The 21,086-nt window shown below is 44.0% G+C and overlaps 1 annotated feature.

Annotated features, from left to right (window-relative positions):
• Positions 7,105-7,606: an enhancer, noted in NCBI's record as "H3K4me1 hESC enhancer chr15:100006923-100007424 (GRCh37/hg19 assembly coordinates)". NCBI's record gives its function as "activates a minimal SCP1, AML or CMV promoter by ChIP-STARR-seq in primed H9 embryonic stem cells {active_cell/tissue: H9 hESC(primed)}" and the evidence as "EXISTENCE:reporter gene assay evidence [ECO:0000049][PMID:30033119]".

Raw genomic sequence — 21,086 nt, 5'->3', positions numbered from 1 at the left:
GGGTGCCAGGCACGATGGCCTGCGATGGGGGCTCACTCTGGTCACTCACCTTTGTATCCACAGGGAAATGGGGAAGCTCTGCAAACCCGGGCCAGGGCACAGCTTGGACAATCTGTCACCAGTGTGCAGAGTCAGCTGAGAAACACAATCCTGCCCAGGCTTTCTGTGGCTGCGGCCAAGAGGGTAGGGCTGCTGGGCTGAAGGCTGTCAAGTGACTGGGCAAAAAAAGCCAGCCTCAGCCTGCATGGCCGCAGCAGTCCATCCTGCAACAGAATAATTCCTCTTAGTGGGAACAGGCCTCCCACGCTTATCACAAAGCGCGGGCTGCCTTTCCAATGCGGCTGGAGGAGATTTACAAAAAGAAAAGGAAGTCGCCCTTACATCTTGGGGAAGTTTAAAGACACCTGGAGAATGAAATCTTGGATTTTACTTTCCTGAAAGGCTGAGGCTAGGCATAATTCTCTGCCTTTGTTCCCCTCCTTTGTCTTGGTTAAATGTTCCTGGCCATACTGTACCTGTGGTTTTATTGTCGTCCTTTTTGGGAACAAGCAGGATATAAATCAGTCAGTGAAATTTTAGAATGTAGCTCTTTGGTCTAGCATCTAAGTAGATAAAGAAGAAACGGGCACTTAATAAGTGCCTCTGGAGGCTTGTGATTTGCATGGGGCTCCCAATGAAAGGTAAAGTCTTTGCTTAGAGGTTACACACACCGAATGCAGGGTGGTCCTCAGGCCTCTGGTCACAGCATGCACAGTGCTGGTGCCTCGATCTGCAAACCTGGTGCGCGCAGCCGCTGGGGACCATCTGCCCCAAGGCCACCCCAGGACTTATCAGAAAGGAGAAGAGTTGGCCGGGCGCGGTGGCCTGGTGATCACACCTGTAATCCCAGCACTTTGGGAGGCCGAGGCCGGTGGATCACGAGGTCAGGAGTTCAAGACCAGCCTGGCCAAGAGGGTGAAACCCCGTCGCTATGAAAAACACAAAAATTAGCTGGGTGTGGTGGTGGGTGCCTGTAATCCCAGCTGCTCAGAAGGCTGAGGCAGAGAATTTCTTGAACCTGGGAGGCGGAGGTTGCAGTGAGCTGAGATCACGCCACTGCACTCCAGCCTGGGTGACAGAGAGAGACTCTGTCTCAAAAAAAAAAAAAAAAGAAAAAGAAAGAAAGAAAAAAAAAGAAAAAGAAAGGGGAAGAGTCAAGTTTCCTGCTCCTTGCTGCAGCCGGCTTGATCAGTGCTCTAGAAAAGGGGGGTGGGTGTCTCCAAACAGCCCCTACCCCAACTTCTTGCCACTGTTGGCTTCCCCGGGTCTTTCTCAGTGCCAGGCAGGGGTCTGACAACAGCAGGGAGTCCAGGCCTTGGAAGGGTCCCCCCAGGCAAAAGCTGATTTGCCTGTCCCCATGCGGGGCACAGGGTGCTTGGAAGTGGTTGGGCCTTTGCAGGGGGGTGACCGCAAAAAGAAAGTGAGATGTGTTGCCGCCACAGCGGAGGGCTTGCCAGAGCCAGCATCAGAGTTGGTGGGTTCCCTGACGTATGGAAAAGATCCAGGGAAAAGTTGTAAAATACTGGGCAAAGGATTATATGGAATACTTTAAACACCTGAGCCAGGTTGTGGAGGGAAATAAGTGTTATGACAAGCCACACATCTGCAATCCCTGCCCTTTATCTGGGAGGGCAGGCGTGTTGAAAACCTTGAAGTGAAGTCAAGGTCAACATGCCGTCCTGAGTCATTAGCCATACACAGATTAGTAGGTTAATACAGAACAGTCTCCACAGATGAATTACACCCAGAAGCCCCGTCCTTGGTGTTGACACCGAAAGTTTCAGTTATCACAGGGAGAGCGATGTCTGCTTAATTTTGATAGGGCTTAATTATTATGATAAATGCCTTTGGAATTTAACCCTTTCATTCCACCTAGTGTTATGGCCTGTATGTCTGTGTTCCTCTGAAACTCATACGTTGAAACCTTAACCCCCAGTGGGATGGTATTAGGAGGTGGGCCTTTTGGGAGGTGATCAGGTTTAGGCAAGGTCTTGAGGGTGGTGCTCCCATGATGAGAGTAGTGTCCTTAGAAGAGAAAGACACTAGAAGTCTCTCTTCACCTGTGAGGATACAGTGAGAAGGCAGCTATCTATAAACCAGGAAGCTGGACCTCATCAGATCCTGGATCTGCTGGTGCCTCCAGAACTGGGAGAAATACATGTTTGTCATTTAAGCCACCCAGACTGCAGTATCTTGCTATAGCATCTCTAACTGACTGAGATACCTTATTAGAGCTCTCCAAAGAAACAGATCGAATAGGAGATAGAGAGATGGTAGATAGATAGATGATAGATAGATAGATAGATGATAGATAGATGATAGATAGATAGATGATAGATAGATAGATAGATGATAGATAGATAGATGATAGAGAGATAGCAGGTGGATAGACAGAAAAATAGCTACATAGCTAGCTAGCTAGACAGACAGACAGATAGATAGATAGATAGATAGATAGATAGATAGATAGATAGATAGATAGATTTATTATGGAAATTGACTCACAAGATTATGAAGGACAAGAAGTTCCACAATCTGCCATCTGCAAGCTGAAGACCCAGGAAAGCTGGTGGTGGAATTCAGTCCAAGTCCAAAGTCCTGGGAATGAGGGCATAGGGAGGACACTGGTTTAAGTCCTGATATCCAAAAGCCCAAGAACCGAGAGCCCCAATATCCAAGGACAGGAGAAGATAGATGTCCCAGGTTAAAGAGACAGAAAATTTACCCTTCCTTCACCTTTCTATTCTAAGCAGATCCTCAATAGATTAGATAATGCCCTTCTACATTGGGGAGGGTGGATCTTCTTCACTCTGTCAACTGATCCAAATGCTCCTCTCTCCCAGAAACACCCTCACAGATGCACCCAGAAATAATGCTCTACCAAGTATCTGGGCATCCCTTATCTCAGGCAAGTTGACACACAAAATTACCCATCATAGACACTTAATGTGAGAATGAAGATCTTAACTTCAACTGCATACAAGAGAGTTGGCCTTTTCTCTCCCCAGCTTCTCTGGGATCCTTGGGAAGGATCTTTGAGGAGTAAAATTCTACTGTTTCAAAAAGATACACATCCCTGTCGTTTGGGGTTGTTAGGACACTTTAGGTCAAAAGTTGCAGAAGCCCACTTCAAACGAGCTCATGGAATTTGCTGGGGGGAAATTAGGCGCTCTTTTGGAACCAAGATGGAATTGAACCATTGGACCACAAGAGAGGTGAGAACCAGGCCTAGAAGCTGCCAGAAATGCAGGAAGCTACTTCCTATCTGTCCCTTGCAAAAGCCACATGTGTTCCTCCCTCTGCTTCTCTCCACCAACCCATCTTCTGTGTTGCCCTATGCATGTCATGTGGTGGGTGGAAGGTGGTCATAACACAGCTTCTGAGTTTACATCTCCTCCCTGTATAGAATCGAGCACTGATTGGTCCAGTCTGGGTTAGGTGTCCAGGCTTAATCCAGACATCTGGGATTAGGGGGACAGGGTTGTAATACATAGACACAGACACCAGAAGCCCTCCTCTGTATGTAGGTGGGTGGAGGGGATCAGCACTAAGAGAATAGTCATTGTGAGCAGGGTGGCACTCCAAAAGGAGACTTGTCCTGCTCCTGAGATCAAAACGGTGCACAGTGAAGGAAACAATCAAAACAGTGAAGAGATAATCCATGGAATGGGAGAAAAATATTTTCAAATCATACATCTGATTAGGTTAACATCCAAAATATACGAGAAACTCAAACAACTAAATAGTGAGAAAACATATAGCCTGACATTAAAATGTGCAACAGATTTGAACAGATATTTCTCAAAAGAAGACAAACAAATGGCCAACAGGTATATGAAGAGGTTCTCAACATCACTAATCATCAGGAAAATGCAAATCAAAACCACAATGAGCTGTCACCTCACAACTGTTAGAGTGGCTATTATCAAAAAGATGAGAGGGCCAGATGCGGTTGCTCATGCCTATAATCTCAGCACTTTGGGAGGCCAAGGCAGGCAGATCACTTGAGGTCAGGAGTTCAAGACCAGCCTGGCCAACATGGTGAAACCCCATCTCTACTAAAAATACAAAAACTAGCCGGGAGTAGTAGTGGGCGCCTGTAGTCCCAACTACTTGGGAGGCTGAGGCAGGAGAATCACTTGAACTCAGGAGGCGGAGTTTGCAGTGAGCCGAGATCACCCCACTGCACTCCAGCCTGGGAGACAGAGTGAAACTTCGTCTCAAAAAAAAAAAAAAAAAAAAAAAGAGGAGAGATAATTACACATGTTGGCAAGAATTTGGGGAAAGGGGAACCCTTGCATATTGTTGGTGGGAATATAAATTAGTACAGCCATTATGGAAAATAGTATGGAGTTTTCTCAAAAAATTAAAACTGGAACTACCCTGTGACCCAGAAATTCCACTACTGGGTATATATCCAAAGGAAATGGAATCAGTATGTTGAAGTGAGATCTGCACTCCCATGTTCATTGCAGTGTTATTCACACTGGCCAAAATATGGAATCAACATAAGTGCCCATCAGTGCATGAATGGATAAAGAAAATATGGCATATATATGAAATACCCTATTCAGCCTTAAAAAAGGAAATCTTGTTGTTTATGACAACATGGATGAACCCAGAGGATATTATATTAAGTGAAATAAACCAGGCACAGAAAGACACATACCGCATGATCTTACTTATTACTTGTGGTATCTAAAAAGCTCAAACTCATAGGAGTAGGAATAGAATGGTCATAACCAAGGGTTGGGGGGCAGGGGGATTAGAAAGATATTGGTCAGAGGACCCAACATTTCAGTTAGATAGAAGGAATACATTCAAGATCGATTGTACATCATGATGAATGACTATAGTTAATAATAATGTATTGTATACTCGAAAATTGCTAAGAGAGTAGATTTTAAGTGTTGTCATCCCCCAAAAATGGTGTTTGTGAAGTAATGAATATGTTAAATAGTTTTATTTAGCTATTCCACAATGAATACATATATCAAAACGTGTTGTACACCATCAATATATACTTTTTTGTCAATTAAAAAAATGAATTAAAAAGTGGTGCTCTCAGAGTTTCCTGATGCCACAAATAGCCACATAGAATCCTAGGAGGTAGAAGACCTGGATCCCACCTCCACCCTCTCAGGCTCTCTCTTTTTCTCTTTATTATACCCTGGCTTAGTAAAGGCTCTGGTAGGAGTCATCTTCAGCCTTATCAATTTGCCAAGCAGCAGGATTTTGGGTGCTGAGATCACCTTCTTTCTTCTGGAACCCTCCTTCCAATGAGGGTCAGTGTGGTGTGCTGGAAAATGCAGAATTCAATATCAGACACACCTGGAGTTCTACACACCCTCTGCCACTTGCTAACATCGGATCTTTCTACATTCTGATTTTCTGGTCTATCAGATGGAGATGGTAAGTAACATCTAACCCTCAGGGCTGTGTGAGAACATGTGATCCTCAGTTCAGCGCTTGGGACATAGAAGATGCTCAACATACCCCAGCGCCCTTAGGTCTCCTTGCCAACACACAAAATCCCCCAAGGGCAATAACGTTGTTCTTCCTGCCTCTTCCTCGAGAGGGCAACTTTTAACCAATGTCCTAATGAATGGAAATTAGTGCCATCCACAAGTAGACTTAGGCACCACCTAAGTGCTCGGGTACTTGGGGGAACTGGGTGTCATAAACATTTAAGTAGGACCAGGCATTTATATTCAGGCAGGACATCTTGACCCAGTGCCTCAGAGAGCAGAACCCATAGAACATTTCCTTGAAATCATCATCAGAGACAGATTCTGGGAAGTTGGGCCATGGGAACTCTTTTTGCTTTTGCTTTTTTTCTAGAGGTGGGGTCTTGCTCTGTTGCCCAGGCTAGAGTGCAGTGGCATGATTATAGCTCACTATAACCTCAGACTCCTGGGTTCAAGCTATCCTCCCATCTTGGCCTCCCAAAGTACTGGGACTGCAGGCAGGAGCCATCAGGCCCAGCCTCATTTTTGAATTATGCTCCTTGAATGAGTGAGTCAGCATTCATAGATGATTCAATTATAGTGGAAATCAGACCACATAGGGAGAATGAAGAAAAAAGCCCACAAGGCCCGGGAGAACTTCTAACATACCTGCTCAGAATGGTGAGGACAGAGAACCAAGGGGACTCCTCCCTGTCTCCAACACCACAGCCCACCCAGCGCCAAGGCCCTCTGGCTATGAGCTGCAGACAAGGGCTGCAGGGAAGGGAAGCCTGAAGACACCAGCTCAGGGCTCTGCAGCTGCTGGGGGGATTCCAGCCGCTCTACCATGTTTGTACACATGTGCTGTCTACGGTACTCCTCCTCTCAAGAGTCAAAGTCCCAGGGCAGAAAGTAAAGATGGTGGAGCCTGGGGTGTGGGCAGGGCTCCTTGGCTGGGAGTCCCTCCAAGATGTCCCCAGAGAAAATCAAGGCCCTGTGACCAGAGAGGGGGACATGGCTCAGCAAAGGTGCCCCACACCAAGTCCCGCTCATTCTGCCTACAAAATATTTCTCAGATACATTGCAAATCCATTTACCAAGCTATTTCTCCAATCCATTCCTGCCGCACGATTCCCAGGCTGCTGCCTTATCACGCGGTGCCTGAGCTGGGGGGCAGCAGCCCTCCCACTTTTCTCCACCTTTTCCCCTTCCCCTCACTTGGCTGCCAGAACTCCCTTCCAGAAAAACACACCCGTCTTGTGACTCTCTCCAGGGCTCACAACAGCCTGCAGAACAAGGGACACTCAGTCCGGGACCCCCGCTGGCAGCCTGGCTTTGCGCCATGCTTCCGGCCAGGCCTGCTGGTTTCAGCCCCAGGCGACCCTCTGCCCCCACACCTTTGTCCACGCTAATCCTTTCTCCTAGAAAACCACCTCTTCCCACTCTACCCAGCGCAGTCGTACCCATCCTTGTTCAGAGCCGAGGTCAAATGTGGCTTCTCTGGGGCTCCCCACAGGCCTCCAGCCAAGCTGGGGCTCCCTGAGCTGTGATTCCAGGATCACACTGCACCCTGGTGATTGACTGCGATCTGCCTCCTGCCTGGGAAGCGAGAACCCAGGAAGACAGGAAAGGTGGCCATCCAGTGCCCACTGCACAGCCTGTTAAGTAGCTGGGCATCTCCCCAGATCCAGACTCCCTGGCCCTGTCTGCCCCTCTGCCCTGCTGAGGTCCCGGCACTGTCTGCACCAGGAGGCAGGGAAGACCCCAGCAGGTACCATTTCCTGTCCTCTGCGTCCGCTCTGGTCTTATTTGTCCCAGGTTCTTCCTCTCTGGAGCGCTCCTCATCTGCAGGCCCTCGAGTGCACAGCGGCAGCAGGCCTGGAGGAGACCCACGCAACTGGTTTCCTGCTCCCACCCGTCTGATCTGAGTCAGAAGCTCTGGGTTTGGAGCCAAGCTCTGAACCTCTTCCCCACTCGGTGACCTCGACCGTTGTTTTCATCACTGCTAAGCCTCGGTTGCTTAATCGGTAAAATGAAGTGGGTTTTGTTGTTGTTTGTTTGTTTAGCACAAGTTCGTTGTTAAAAGTAGAGGTGTGCCTCCCAGCCAATTCCCTTACCCCGAGAAACCAACGTGAAGCGCTCAGTGTGCCTGCCCAGATGTTTTTCTACGTGAGTTTACAGACATTCTTAAAATTGGTCTTGTTTTGTGGACAAAGAATGACATCTATATCCTCTTCTATTCTTGCTATTTTCACTCACCTCTGATTCCATGCCCTTCAGGTTGGCTTCTCTTCTTCTTTGTCACACTTGCTTGTCTTGCAGAGTATGAATGACCCATAGTTTATTTTGTTGGCCTCCTAACTACAGACATTTAGAGTGTTTTTCTTAAAGATGTCTTTTCTTAAGTTACATATTTGATTTTGTGATAATTGTAGATTCACATGCAGTTGTAAGAAATAATACAGAGAAATACCATGTACCCTTTACCCAGTTTCCCCCAGTGGTAACACCACTCAAAACTATAGTACAGTATCATAACCCGGATACAGTGATACAGTGATCCATCCCTACAAGAATCCTTTCTGTTGCCATTTTTATTATTTATTTTATTTTATTTTTTTAGAGACAGGGTCTTGCTATGCCCAGGCTGGTCTCAAACTCCTAGGTGGCCTCAAATGATCCTCCCACCTTGGCCTCCCAAAGCACTGGGATTACAGGCATGAGCACCTGTTGCCTTTTTTAGCCACGCCCATGTTCCTCACATCCTCGCTACCCATTCCCTGCACCTGGTCTTTTACTCCGGGCAATCACTAATCTTTCTCTATTTCTATAATGTTGTCATTTCAAGAATGTTATGTAAATGGAAACATATAGAATGTAACCTTAAAGAATTGGTTTTTATCACGTAGCATAATTCCCTGCAGATTCATCCAGGTTGTTGCACATATCAGAGTTTGTTCCTTTTTACTACTGAGTAGTATTCCTCAGAAGGGATGTACCACAGTTTGTTTAATCACTCACTCTTGAAGGACATCTGGGTTGTTTACAGTTTGGGGATATTACCAATAAAGCTGCTATAAACATTTGTGTACAGGTTTTTACGGGAGTATAAATGTCATCTCACTAGGATAAATGTCCGGGAGTACAGATGCTTGGCCATATGGCAGCTGCATGTTAGTTTCCTAAGAAGCTACCAAACTGCACCCCAGAGCAGCTGAGCCATTTTACATTCCCACCAGCAATCTATGAGTGATCCAGTTTCTCCACTAACATTTGGTGTTGTCCCTGTTTTGTATTTCAGCCATTCTGATGGATACATATTGATATTTCATTGTGTTTTAATTTGTTTTTCCCTAATGCCTAATGATGCTGGACATCTTTGGTGAAGCGTCTGTTTATGCCATTTTCTAATTGGCTTTTTTGGGTTTGTTTTTGGTTTTTTTTCCTATTAAGTTTTGAGAGTTCTTTATATATTCTAGATACCAGTCCTTTGTCGGGTATGTGTTTCGCAAATATTTTCTCATAGTCTGTGGCTTGTCTTTCCATCCCTTTAACAGGGTCTTTTCTAGAACAAAATTTGAAACTTTGATGAAGTCCTATCTATCAGTTTTTTTCATTATGGATTGTGCCATTGGTGTCAAGTTTAGCAATTCTTGGCTTAACCATAAAGCCCAAAGATTTCCTCCAATTTTTTTCTAAAAGATTTATAGTTTTATATTTTACATTTAAGTCCATGTTCCATTTTGAATTAGGTGTGAGGCTGAGGATGAAGTTCACTTTTTGCCTATAGATGTCCAATTGTTATAGCACCGTTCATTGAAAAAGCTGTACTTAACCCATCAAATTGATTGTGCACCTTTGTCAAAAATCTGTTGGTCATTTTTCTGTGGGTCTATTTCTGGGTTCTCCGTTCTATTGATCTGTGTGTCGATCCCTCTGCCAGTACTGCAGCCTTGATTACTAGAGCTAGATAATATGTCTTGAAATTGGTGGACTAATTTCACTTTGCTCTTCTTTTTTGAATTTTTTGAAGCTATTTTAGTAATTTGTGTTTTTATATAAATTTTAGGATAATTTTGTCAACATCTTCAAAAGACTCTTGGTGGAGTTTTGATAGAAATTGTGTTAAACTTGTATATAAAATTGGAGATAATTGATATCTCTGCTATGTTGAGTCTTCCAATCTACAGAGTCCATCTCTTCATTTGTTAGATCTTTGATTTCTTTCAACAGTTTTGTAATTTTTAGCATATGGTTCTTATGTCTTGTTAAATTTGCATGTATTTTGCTTTTTAAAAAACAATTATAAATTGTATGCTAAGTCTCCCAATCATTGTTAGTATGTAGGTGTACAATTGATTTTTGTATAGTTATCTTAGATCCTGCAACCGTGTCCTGCAACCTTGTTGAATGCACTTTTTAGTTCTAGTAAGTTTTTTGTTTTGCATAGATTCCTTGGGGTTTTCTATGTAGAAAGTGATGTCATTTGCAAATAGGAACACTTGTTTTTTTCCTCTCCAATATGTATGCCTTTTATTTCCTTTTCTTGTCTTATTGCAGTGGCTAGAACTTCCAATACTATGCTAAATAAGACTGATGATAGTGGACATCCTTGCTTTGTCCCCCGTTTTAAAGGAAAATCATTCAGTCTTTTGTGATTAAATATAATGTTAGCTGCAGGTTTTCTGTAGATGCTTTTCATCAAGCTGAGGAAGTTTCCATTTATTCTAAATTTGCTGAGAGTTTTTATCATAAATTGGTGTTGTATTTTGTCAAATTTTTTTTCTGAGTCCATTTATACTATCATGTAATTATTATTCTTTAGCCTGATGATATGGTAGATTATATTGATTGATATTTAAATGACAAACCATTGTTGCATAGCTGGAATAAATCCTGTCCAGTTTTGATGCATAATTAATTCTTTTTCTATATTGCTGAACTCTGTGTGCTCATTTTTTGTTAAGAATTTTTGCATCTATACTCATACGTGATATTGGTCTGTAGTTTTCGTTTTTACAACTATCTTTGTCTGCTTTCAGGGTCAGAATAAGACTAGCTTTATAAAATGAATTGGGAGCTATTGCCTCCTTTTCTATTTCCTGGAAGAGAATGTCTAGAATTGATGTTAATTCTTCTTTAAATACAATTTAGTATTGAAATCATCTAGGCCTGGAGATTTCTTTTTGGAGAATTTTTAAATTATAAGTTTGTTTTTCTTTGTAGATACAGGGCTATTAAAATTATCTATTTCACAGCAGGTGAGTTGTAGTAATTTATGCTTTTCAAGAAATTGGTCCATTTCACTCAAGTTGTCTAATTTATGTCTATAGAGCTCTTCATGGTATTCCTTTATTACCCTTTTGATAACTGTAGGGTCTGTAGTGATATTTTCTGTTTTGTTCTTGATAATGTTAGTTTGTCTTCTCTCTTTTTTCTTTGTCAGTCTTGCTAGAAATTTGTCAATCTTATTGATCTTTACATTTCATAGAATTTTCTTTTTTGTTTTCCTGTTTTTAATGCCACTGGTTTATGCTCTTACCTTAGTTATTCCCTTTCTTCCACTTGCTTTGGGTTTAATTATATATTCTTTCCATATGCTTTAGCTATATCCCACAAATTTTGACATATTTTCCTTTTAATTTACTTCAATATATTTTTTATTTTCCTTGGGACTCCCTCTTTGATTCATGGATTATTTAGAAGTGTGTGTGTGTTATATTTTCAAACATTTGGAGGTTTTTCTGTATCTTTCTGTTATTGATTACTAGTTTGATTTTGCTCTGGTCAAAGTACACACTCTACATGAATTCCATTTTTTTAAACTTTTTTGTTAAGATTTATTTTATGGCCCAGGATATAGTCTATCTTGATATATGTTTCATAGGCTATTATAAAGAATGTGTGTTCTGCTACTGTGGAATCACATGCTTCATAAATGTCAATGAGCTCCTGTTGGTTGATATTGTTGTTCTTTTTATCCTTGCTAAGTTTCTGTCTAGTTGTTCTATAAATTGTTGAGAAAGTAATATTCAAGCCCCAACTATAATTATGGATTAGTCTATTTCTCCATTCAGTTCTATGAGTTTTTGCTTCATGTTTTTTGTAGCTCTGTTGTTAGGTACATACATGTTTCTGATTGTTAAATCTTCTTGGTTGATTGATTCTTTTGTCATTATGTAATGCTTCTCTCTGTCTCTGGTAATTTTCTTTGTTCTGAAGTGTTCTTCATCTAATATTTATATAGCCACTCCTGCTTTCTTTTCTAAGTAAACTTTTTTATTTTAGGATAGACTTAGAGTTATGGAAATGTTGTGAAGAGTTTCCCTACGTCTCATGCCCAGTTTTCCTCATGAACACCTTACATTAGTATGATACACTTGTCACAAGTAATGTGCCCATATTGATCCATTATTAATAACTAAGGTCTATACTTTATTCAGATTTCCTTAGTTTTCACCTAATGTCCTTCTTCTGCCCAGGATTCCATTCAGGTTACTACATTACATTTAGTCATCATTGTCTCCTTAGGATTCTCTTGGATGGGACAATTTCTTAGACCTTCCTTGTTTTCGATGACCTTTGGAGGAGCACTGGCAAGATATTTTATAAAATGTCCCTTGATTGGGATTTGTCTGATGTTTTTTTCTCATAATTAGAATGGGGTTATGGGTTTTGGGGAGGAAGACCACAAACACAAAGCGCCCTTCTTATCACATCGTATTAATAACATATACCATCAACATGATTTGTCACTGGTAATGTTAACCTTGGTCATCTGGATGACAGAGTGTTTGTCAGTTTTCTCTACCAAAAATTTACTCTTCACCCTACCCCTACCTCCAACTCCCCACCCCCTGCTTTCTTACTGTACTTTTTGGAAAGAAATTCATTAGGCACAGTCCATACTTAAGGAATGAAGAGTTATGTGCTATCTCCTTGAAGGGAGAATATTTGTCTATTTTTTCCATTTATCTATGTATTGAATAATTTATTTATGACAATATGGACTCGGATATTTATTTTAGGTTATGATCTAACACTACTTTATTTGTTGTTTAAATTGTCCCAGTCTTTGTCTCTGGGAGCTCTTTGGGTTGGCTTCTGCGTTCCTTTGATAGACTCCCATCATCATGTTTTGTGGATTTTGGCTTAGTTTTGAGGACTTTCTTGCTTTCTGACATTAAAAGATGATCCAGGATCATCTCAGATAGTCTGTGCCCCAGATGTAGTGCCAGCCATTTCCCCAGAGAACTCTGATTTCTTTTGTTGAAGAATGATGTTAGAAATCAAGATCTGGGCACCAGGTGTGCTCCTGGGGTGACATTGCTTCTTGGCTCTCTCAGCAGAGAGAGCAGAAAACTCTATGTGTGTGTACTAACCTGTGTATACACACATATCTATAAATATTTCAATATGTATCCATCTGTATCTATATTAGTCTAGACATGAGTTTATATCCATATCTCCAGCTCTAATCAATCACCCCACCCCATTATAGCCTTCTCCTGTTGCTTGTCTCTAACTTCCTATTCCAATAGTGAGAAACTTGACTTCAAAATTCACCATTTACTTAAGTTTTCAAAACTATATATATATATATGTACAATTTTCTTCTTCTTTTTTTTTTTTTTTTTTTTTGAGACAGAGTCTCGCTCTGTCGCCCAGGCTGGAGTGCAGTGGTGCAATCTTGGCTCACTGCAAGCTCTGCCTCCCGGGTTCACTGCTTATACAAGCCTGCACAAGCCCTCTTGCCCATCCCTTTCACAGCTCCCTTGGCTCAGCCTTTCCCTTCTCACAGGAACTGCAGCAAAGTGGGTGTGGAACAGCCACTACCACGTCCATTGAATGACAGGAAGGGAGAGGCTCTGACCTTGGGCCTTGAGGCGTGACAGTTCTTCCTTCCACATCTGTTCCCATGAGGCCTGGAGGTGCATGGATGAGGTTGGTCCATGCCACCATGGCTCTCAGGCCACCACCAAGACCAGAGTGAAATGGTGTGAATATCCCACACTACAGATGCTCCTTCCCCTCATAGACTTCCCCCAGCCCCCCAACCCTAATTCTATCCCTCTACTGAGATGAGGCCCAGCTTTTGTCAGAAGCGCCAGGGACTATGGGCTGTAGAACTTGAGGCTTCTGTCCATGCCTGTTGGGGCAATGAATTTCTTGTGATGCCGGAAGGCCAACTCCATCCATGTTTCTGCAAAGGACATAATCTTGTTCCTTTTTATGGGTGCATAGTATTCCCTCATGTGTATGTACCACATTTTTTTTTATCCGGGAACCACCGATGGGCATTTAAATTGACTCCATATCTTTGCTATATAGGCTCTTGTAAAGAATGTGTGTTCTGCTACTGTGAGTCCATGTTTTTTATATATATATCATGGCAAAACATAGCATATATATATGCTAGAATTGAAAAGTTTAAAAGTCAAAAAATAACAGATGTTGGTAAGGTTGCAGATAAGAGGGAGCACTTATACACTACTGCTGGGAATGCAAATTAGTTCAGCCATTGTGGAAAGCAGTGTGGTGATTCCTCAAAGAATTAAAAGCAGAATTACCATTAGACCCAGCAATCCCGTTATTGGGTATACACCCAAAGGAAAATAAATCGTTCTACCGTGAAGACACATGCATGCATATGTTCATTGCAGCACTATTCCAACAGTAAAGACGTGGAATCAACCTAAATGCCCATCAACCTCAGACTGGATAAAGAAAATGTGGTACATATACTCCAGGGAATACTATGCAGCCATAAAAAAACAAGATTATGTCCTTTGCAGCAACATGGATGGAACTGGAGTCCATTATCCTAAATGAACTAATACAGGAACAGAAAACCAAATACTGCACGTTCTCACTTACAGTTAGGAGCTAAACACTGAGTACACACGGACACAAAGAAGAGAACAGCAGACACCAGGGCCTACTTCAGGGTGAAAGGTAGGAGGAGGAGGATCAAAAAGCTGATACTATGCTTATTACCTGGGTGAAAAAATAATCCGTACTCCAAACCTCTGTGACACACAATTTACCTATGAACAAAGTGCACATGTACCCCTGAACTTAAAATAAAGGTTAAAAAAATAATAAAATAAAATAAATTATGTATTTAGAACTTTTAAATTAATGTAATTATTGACCTATTAGGACTTAAGTCTGCCATTTTATTTTTTGTTTTCTGTTTGTTCTGTTTTTCATTTCTCTATTTCCTTTTTCCTGTATTCCTGTGGTTACTGGGACATTTTTTTTTGGATTCCATTTTGATTTATTGATAGTGTTTTGGAGTGTCTCTCTTTGTGTGGCATTTTAACTGGTTGCTCTAGGTATTACATTATATCTATATAACTTTTTTTTTTTTCAGACAGAGTCTCACTTTGTTGCCCAGACTGGAGTGCAATGGTGAGATCTCAGCTCACTGCAACTTCCACCTCCTGGGTTCAAGCAATTCTCCTGCCTCAGCCTCCCAAGTAGCTGCAATAACAGGCCCCCCCGCCACCACACCCAGCCAATTTTTGTATTTTTAGTAGAGACGGGGTTTCACCATGTTGGCCAGGCTGGTCTCAAACTCCTGACCTCAAGTGATCCAACTGCCTCGGCCTCCCAAAGTGCTGGGATTACAGGCATGAGCCACCACATCCAGCCCATTATATCTATATAACTTATCACAGTCTACTGGTGTTGACATTTTACCAGTGCAAGTGAAGTGTAGGAGCACACCTCCCTTTATATTCCTCTACCCTTTCTTATTTATAATATGTCTTAAATATTTCCTCTATATACATTTAGAAACTCATCAAACAGTGCTATAATTTTTGCTTCAATCATGAAACAATTCAGAAATCTCCAGAGGAGAAGGAAAATGTATTTGTCTATATTTTTGCCCTTTCCATTGTTCCTTCTTGTTCCTAATGCTCCAAGATGGCTTCTTTTATCATTGTCTTTCTGTTTAGAGAACTTCCATTCTTTTAGGTCTCTGGTGACAAATTATCTTAGTTTCCCTTCATCTGTGATGTCTTGATTTCCTCTTTCATTCCTGAAGGATATTTTCATGGCATATAGAATTCTGGGCTGAGATTTCTTTTCTTTTCTTTTCTTTCTTTTTTTTTTTTTTTTTTTTGAGACAGAGTCTCACTCTGTCATCCAGGCTGGAGTGCAGTGGCATGATCTCGGCTCACTGCAACTTCTGCCTCCTGGTTTCAAGCGATTCTCCTGCCTCAGCCTCCTGAGTAGCTGAAATTACCAGCACCCATCACCATGCCTGGCTAATTTTTGTATTTTTAGTAGAGATGGGGTTTCACCATGTTGGTCACACTGGCCTTGAACTCCTGACCTCAAGTGATCTGCCTACCTCAGCCTCCTCAAAGTGCTGGGATTACAGGGATGAGCCACCATACCCAGCCTGAGGTTTCTTTTCTTTCAGCTCTTAGGAAATGCAGTGACATTTCTTTTTGGCTCCCTTGGTTTTTAATGAGAAACCCAGTGTCATTTGAATTGTTTCTCCTCCAGGTAAGGTGTCATTTCTCTCTTGCTGCTTTCAATATTTTTCATTTGTCTTTGGTTTTCACTATAATGTGAAAGTTTCACATTAAATTTTACCATGATGTTTCTTGGGATAAATTTCTTTGAATTTATTTTGTTTGAGGGTCACTCAGTTTCTTGAATCAGTAAATTTATGTCTTTTGACAAATTTAGGAAGTTTTCAGCCATTATTTCTTTGAGTACTTTTTCAGCCCTCATTCTCCTCTTCTTCTGGAACTCTGATGACAATAAATGTTAGAATTTTTTAATCATCCCACATATCCCTGAAACTCTCTTGTTCTTCTACTACTACTCTTCTCCTTCTCCTCCTTCTTCTTACTCTTCTGTCTATGTTCTCTTTGTTCAAACTGGGTAATATCTGTCGTTCTATCTTCGAGTTTGTGGATACTTTTCTCAGTCCATTCTACTGTTAAGCCCATCATTGAGTTTTTAATTTCAGTTACTGTATTTTTCAGTTTTAAATTTCTCATTTGGTTCTTCTTTTTATCTTCTATTTCTTTGCCTAGATTTTCTATTTTTCACTTGTTTCAGGTGTGTTTGTAATTGCTTTTTGAAGCATATTTATCATATTTGCTTATCATATTCTAACATTTCATCATCTCAGTATTGGTATATATTGATTGTCTTTTTCATTCAAATCGAGGTTTTGCTGGTTCTCAATAAGACAAGTGATTTTTGACTGAAACCTGGACATTTGGGGTATTATGTTGTGAAATTCTGGATTCTATTTAAACCTTCTGTTCCAGTTGGTTTCTTCTGAGATTGCTCCAGCAGCAAAAGTGGAGACACTGTGCTGTCTTGTTACTGCCAGGTGGAAGTAGAAGTTCATGTTCTCTACTTGTCCTTTATTAATGCCTGGGGAGGGGGGCGGGGGTGGGAAGATCCTTGTTCCTACTAGCCCAGAGTGGCAATTCTACCTCCCCACTAGGCTCCACTGATTCCACCCCTGTGGGAGACAGGGAGGGATGCCTCGTTATTCCTAAGTCCGGGCTCTCCGTGTATTCTCCATTGACGGTGCAGTGGCAGGAGCTAAACTGTTTTCCTCTATAATACTTGCTGTCAAAAATGAAGCTGTGACGAACATCTGTGCTCCAGTGGGAGGATCTAGAGTCTTAGAGGTAGAACTGCTGATAAGAGAAAATGCTTATGACGCTTTGAGAGCAGTGCTTTTCAAATTGGGCATTCCAGTGGGTGCTGGGGACTTCATGAGGGAGCATAGGGAGCTACACGGGTGTCAGGCAGGTGGGGATTTGGGTTCTCCACACTAATTCAGCAGGAGAGGCCTCCCTCTCCCCTGTCCCATTCACTCAGCTCTGAGCCAGATTTCATTTGAAACATTAGTTCCATGGCTGAAAAAAGAGAAAGCATTTGGAAACCACGGTGAAAATATCTGAGTTTCTCTCTATTTGTGGATGTCTGTGATGATATGAATCATAATCCATCCCAGCGACGTTTCTGAGGCTGCTTGGGGAAGGAGCCATGAACCGGAGTATAACTGGCTATAAGAGCCTTTGAAAATAATGAATTTGCCATCAGATTATCTTAAAATGCAAACCATCTTGTTGCATTTAAAACAGCATTTAATTTATAACAAAGCTAATTAACACATCATTTTTCAGACACATATCAATTATGCGAAACGAGGTGCACCTGTACTAAAATTCCTTGGTTCACTGATTCGAAGAAGAACATCAGCAAGAACATCAGCTCGGATGGGCCCTTAGAGAGCAACAATAGATTTGAAATAAGGGACAAGCCAGGAGGTTGCCGGGGGGCGGGTAGGGGGATAGTTGCAAAAATGTTCTGAACTTTAAAATAACGGTCCCTTGCAAACAGAAGTTTTTTCTCCAAAGTGTCTCTCCTCCAGATCTCCCATCTACCATTTCCACCCTGCATGTGAATCTCACTTCTAGAGGCAGCTGCCTCACGTTCAGCTTACGACACCTTCAGAAGCTTTGCTAATAAATGCATATCGAAAAAGCGTTCTGCCCATGGGGACCAATTTCTTTTTCCATCACCCGTGGCTTCTCAACATGAAATTAAAGGCAGAAGCAAGTAATTGCAGCTGGTGGCAGCTCCCAAGGTTTAGCTACTGCCAAGGGATCTGGTCCATGCCTCGTCCCCTCTGTTTCTCCCTCCTCTCATCCAAGGACCAAGCAAAATATGGGGCATGACCTGCAAGAAGGTGATCCTCCCAGCTAGAGCACAGCTCTCTGAGTAGCAGTTCTCAGGAAGCCTGTGAGCTAGCCCAGCCAGGGGCTTTTCCAGGCTTTGTCTCAAGTGCAGGGCTTGGAGAAGAATATTGCCAGCCTTCAGTCCCAACTCAGGACCATCAGTGACCTCATGGGGACCTCACTTTGGTGGGAGAGGTTGGAGGATGATGCTCTCCTCCCAGGGAAGTAAGCCTAAGGGCAGATTCCTCTCTCTGCCCTGGGGGAGAAAGTAAAAGGGAGGGAGGGCTTCTCACAGTGCCCATCTGGCCCTGTGGAGAGTTGCTGGTGACATTTCAGTCAGTCATCCAGTCAAACTCATGTGTACCAAAAAAAAAAAAAAAAAAAAAAAAAAAAAGGCAAGTAGAATGTGCCGAAGGCTTGGAGTCAAGGATAGCATCATGATTTTTGGCTTGAGCTAAGAAACGATGGAGTTGCTGAGATGTTGGGAGGCGTACATAGCTTTTGGGGGTAGAAATCAGGAGTGCAGGCTTGTCAGGGAGGCAGTTGGATTTATGACCCCAGATTTCAGGGGAGAGGGCTGGTCTGGAGATAGAAATGAGGGAGGCACCAGCTGGTTTGGACATTCTTTCCCCAACGGTTTCATACCTGGCAAGGCCTCACTCCCCACTGGTGGGTTGGGTGTGTTCTCCCCCACGGGCCCTGCCCACCTGCCCTCTCTCCCTGCGGAGAGGGGCCTCCCCTGGGGGCCCTCCACTCCTGCCAGCCGAGCTCCTGGGCTGGCGAGTTCTCTCTGTGCTCAGGCCCCAGACGGAACACCTTCTGATAAGATTCCCCAGCCCGCTCACGGCTGCCCACCCACTCCAGCCAAGTGTCACGGAAGGAATGTGGTGGCAGCTGGGCCCGAATCACAAGACAGAAACTCCCAGGACACGTAGGTCAAGCCAGGAAGTGCCTCCTGAAAGGGAGAAGCCCGGACAGGCCGTGCATGGGCGGGGGCTCAGAGGAAACCAGCGCCAGTGAGTCAGCCTGCAGTTCTGTTGGACAGAGTGTGGGCTGCCAGAGAAAACAAATTCCTCCAGCAGGTTTATCTCCTTGTGGAGGAGGCCTAATCAGCAGCACGAAGTGGCAAAGGAGGGAGGCCATATGCTCCTGACCTGGCTGAGCTGCCCATGCCCGGATTAGCTGGGTCAGCCAGGCCGAGCGCCTGGTTCCAGGATGGAGGCTCGCTTCTGGTGGGTCCTGGGTAGGGCAGAGGCCCCCGTACCAAGCCAGCCAGATCCATCCCATCCTAAACCCTCCAGGGGGATGGAGCTCCAACAGAAATGAGGAGGGGCAGAAAGGAGACAAATGAAAGCAAATGTGGGTGCAGAATTTCTGAGGTGCCACAGGAAACTTTCCACAGCCACATGCTGTGCTTTCAGTGGGAAATGTGTTAGGCTTGGCAATGCCAGGGAGGGCCACAGTGCAGGGGAGGTGAATGGTGGCTTCCGGATTTGTGCAGCGCACACTCTGCCCTGCCATCCCCGGGGCCCTGGATGGAAGGTCACAATTCTTTATCTATATGGCTTCAGTGATGTTAGGAGAGGCACATTCCCATCCTCAGCAGGTGCATTTGGAGAATCCATAGCACCTAAGAAAACAGGACAGGTGGGCCCTGCTCAGTGGAGCAAGTCACCTGCCCCTTAACAAGGACCACATGTAACCACCCTCAGTTCTTCCTCCACTCCTGCTTCCTTCTCCAGGGGTTCTCAGAGTGTGGCTCCCAGTCCGGCAGCACCAGCACCACCTGGGAACTTGATAGAAGTGCAAATTCTTGGGCCCTCCCAAGACCTGCTGGATGGGAAACTCTGGGGTGGGGCCTAGTTGTGTGTTTAATAGCCTCACCCCACCACCTTCCCCCAGGAAGAAGCATCTTTCTCCCCTACGCAGCCTGGGGACAGGCAGCTCTGGCCTTGGAATCACTAGGGGAACTTTTAAAAGTGCCCGTGCCTGGGTCTCACCCCTACAGATTCAGATTTCTCTGGTCTAGGTTTTAGCCTGGGCATCAGGATTTTTGGCTGTTTTGCAGGCTGAAAGTGCTTCTGTGTTCTGGGGTGCTGGGCTCAGGGTCATCACCTGGAACCACGAACCATGAGATGGAGGCTTGCACTTGACACCTTGCAGGTCTGACCCTCATGCCTGGGGAGACAGCTCAGCTCAAGAGAGGTGCTTGTCTTCGGCGTGCACCGGAATCATGCCTGGGGAGAGAGCTCAGCTCAAGAGAGGTGCTTGGTCTTCGGTGTGCACCAGAATCATGCCTGGGCTGTGAGGGGGGTGCCCAACCATGCAGATTCCTGGGAATCTTCCCCAGACATCCCAGTTTGGTAGGCCTGGAGTGGGGCTGGGGAGTGTGCATCGTGAGCAATGTCCTGGGTGATTCTGATGTGTGCTCAGGGATCTTCCCTTTGAGAGCCACAGAACAGGGACATCTGAATGAGGTTCTGCTTCCATCTCTACCACTCACCAGCCACAGGCCCCCAGCAAGCCCCTTCACCTATGGTTGCTTTGTGCGTAACTTGGGGAAAACAGCAGCCTCCCTGGACCCCTCAGCACAGTCCTGAGACCACATGGATCTGGGCAAGACTGGCCGCTGTGGATGGCAGGACAGACAGAAGGAACTGCTCGACTGTCCTCCGGCCACCTACAGTTGGCCTGCGTGGAAGGAGTAATACTTACTGAGACTGCCCAGCAGAGGTGGCGAGTGTCGTGGCCGAAAGACCAGGCCCAGAGTGCGTGGGTGCCACTCGCAGCTCCCAGCAGCCGCAGGGAGGGGGCTGTGGGTCCCAGGCAGGCTTTGGGGTGCAAGGCAGGAGAAGGGGCAGGCCCTGAGGTC

The sequence above is a fragment of the Homo sapiens genome, chromosome 15, assembly GCF_000001405.40.
Source record: "Homo sapiens chromosome 15, GRCh38.p14 Primary Assembly".
NCBI classification, from domain to species: Eukaryota; Metazoa; Chordata; class Mammalia; order Primates; family Hominidae; genus Homo; species Homo sapiens.
The sequence above is the reverse complement of the archived record's forward strand: the minus strand, read 5'-3'. Positions and strand labels throughout refer to the sequence as shown.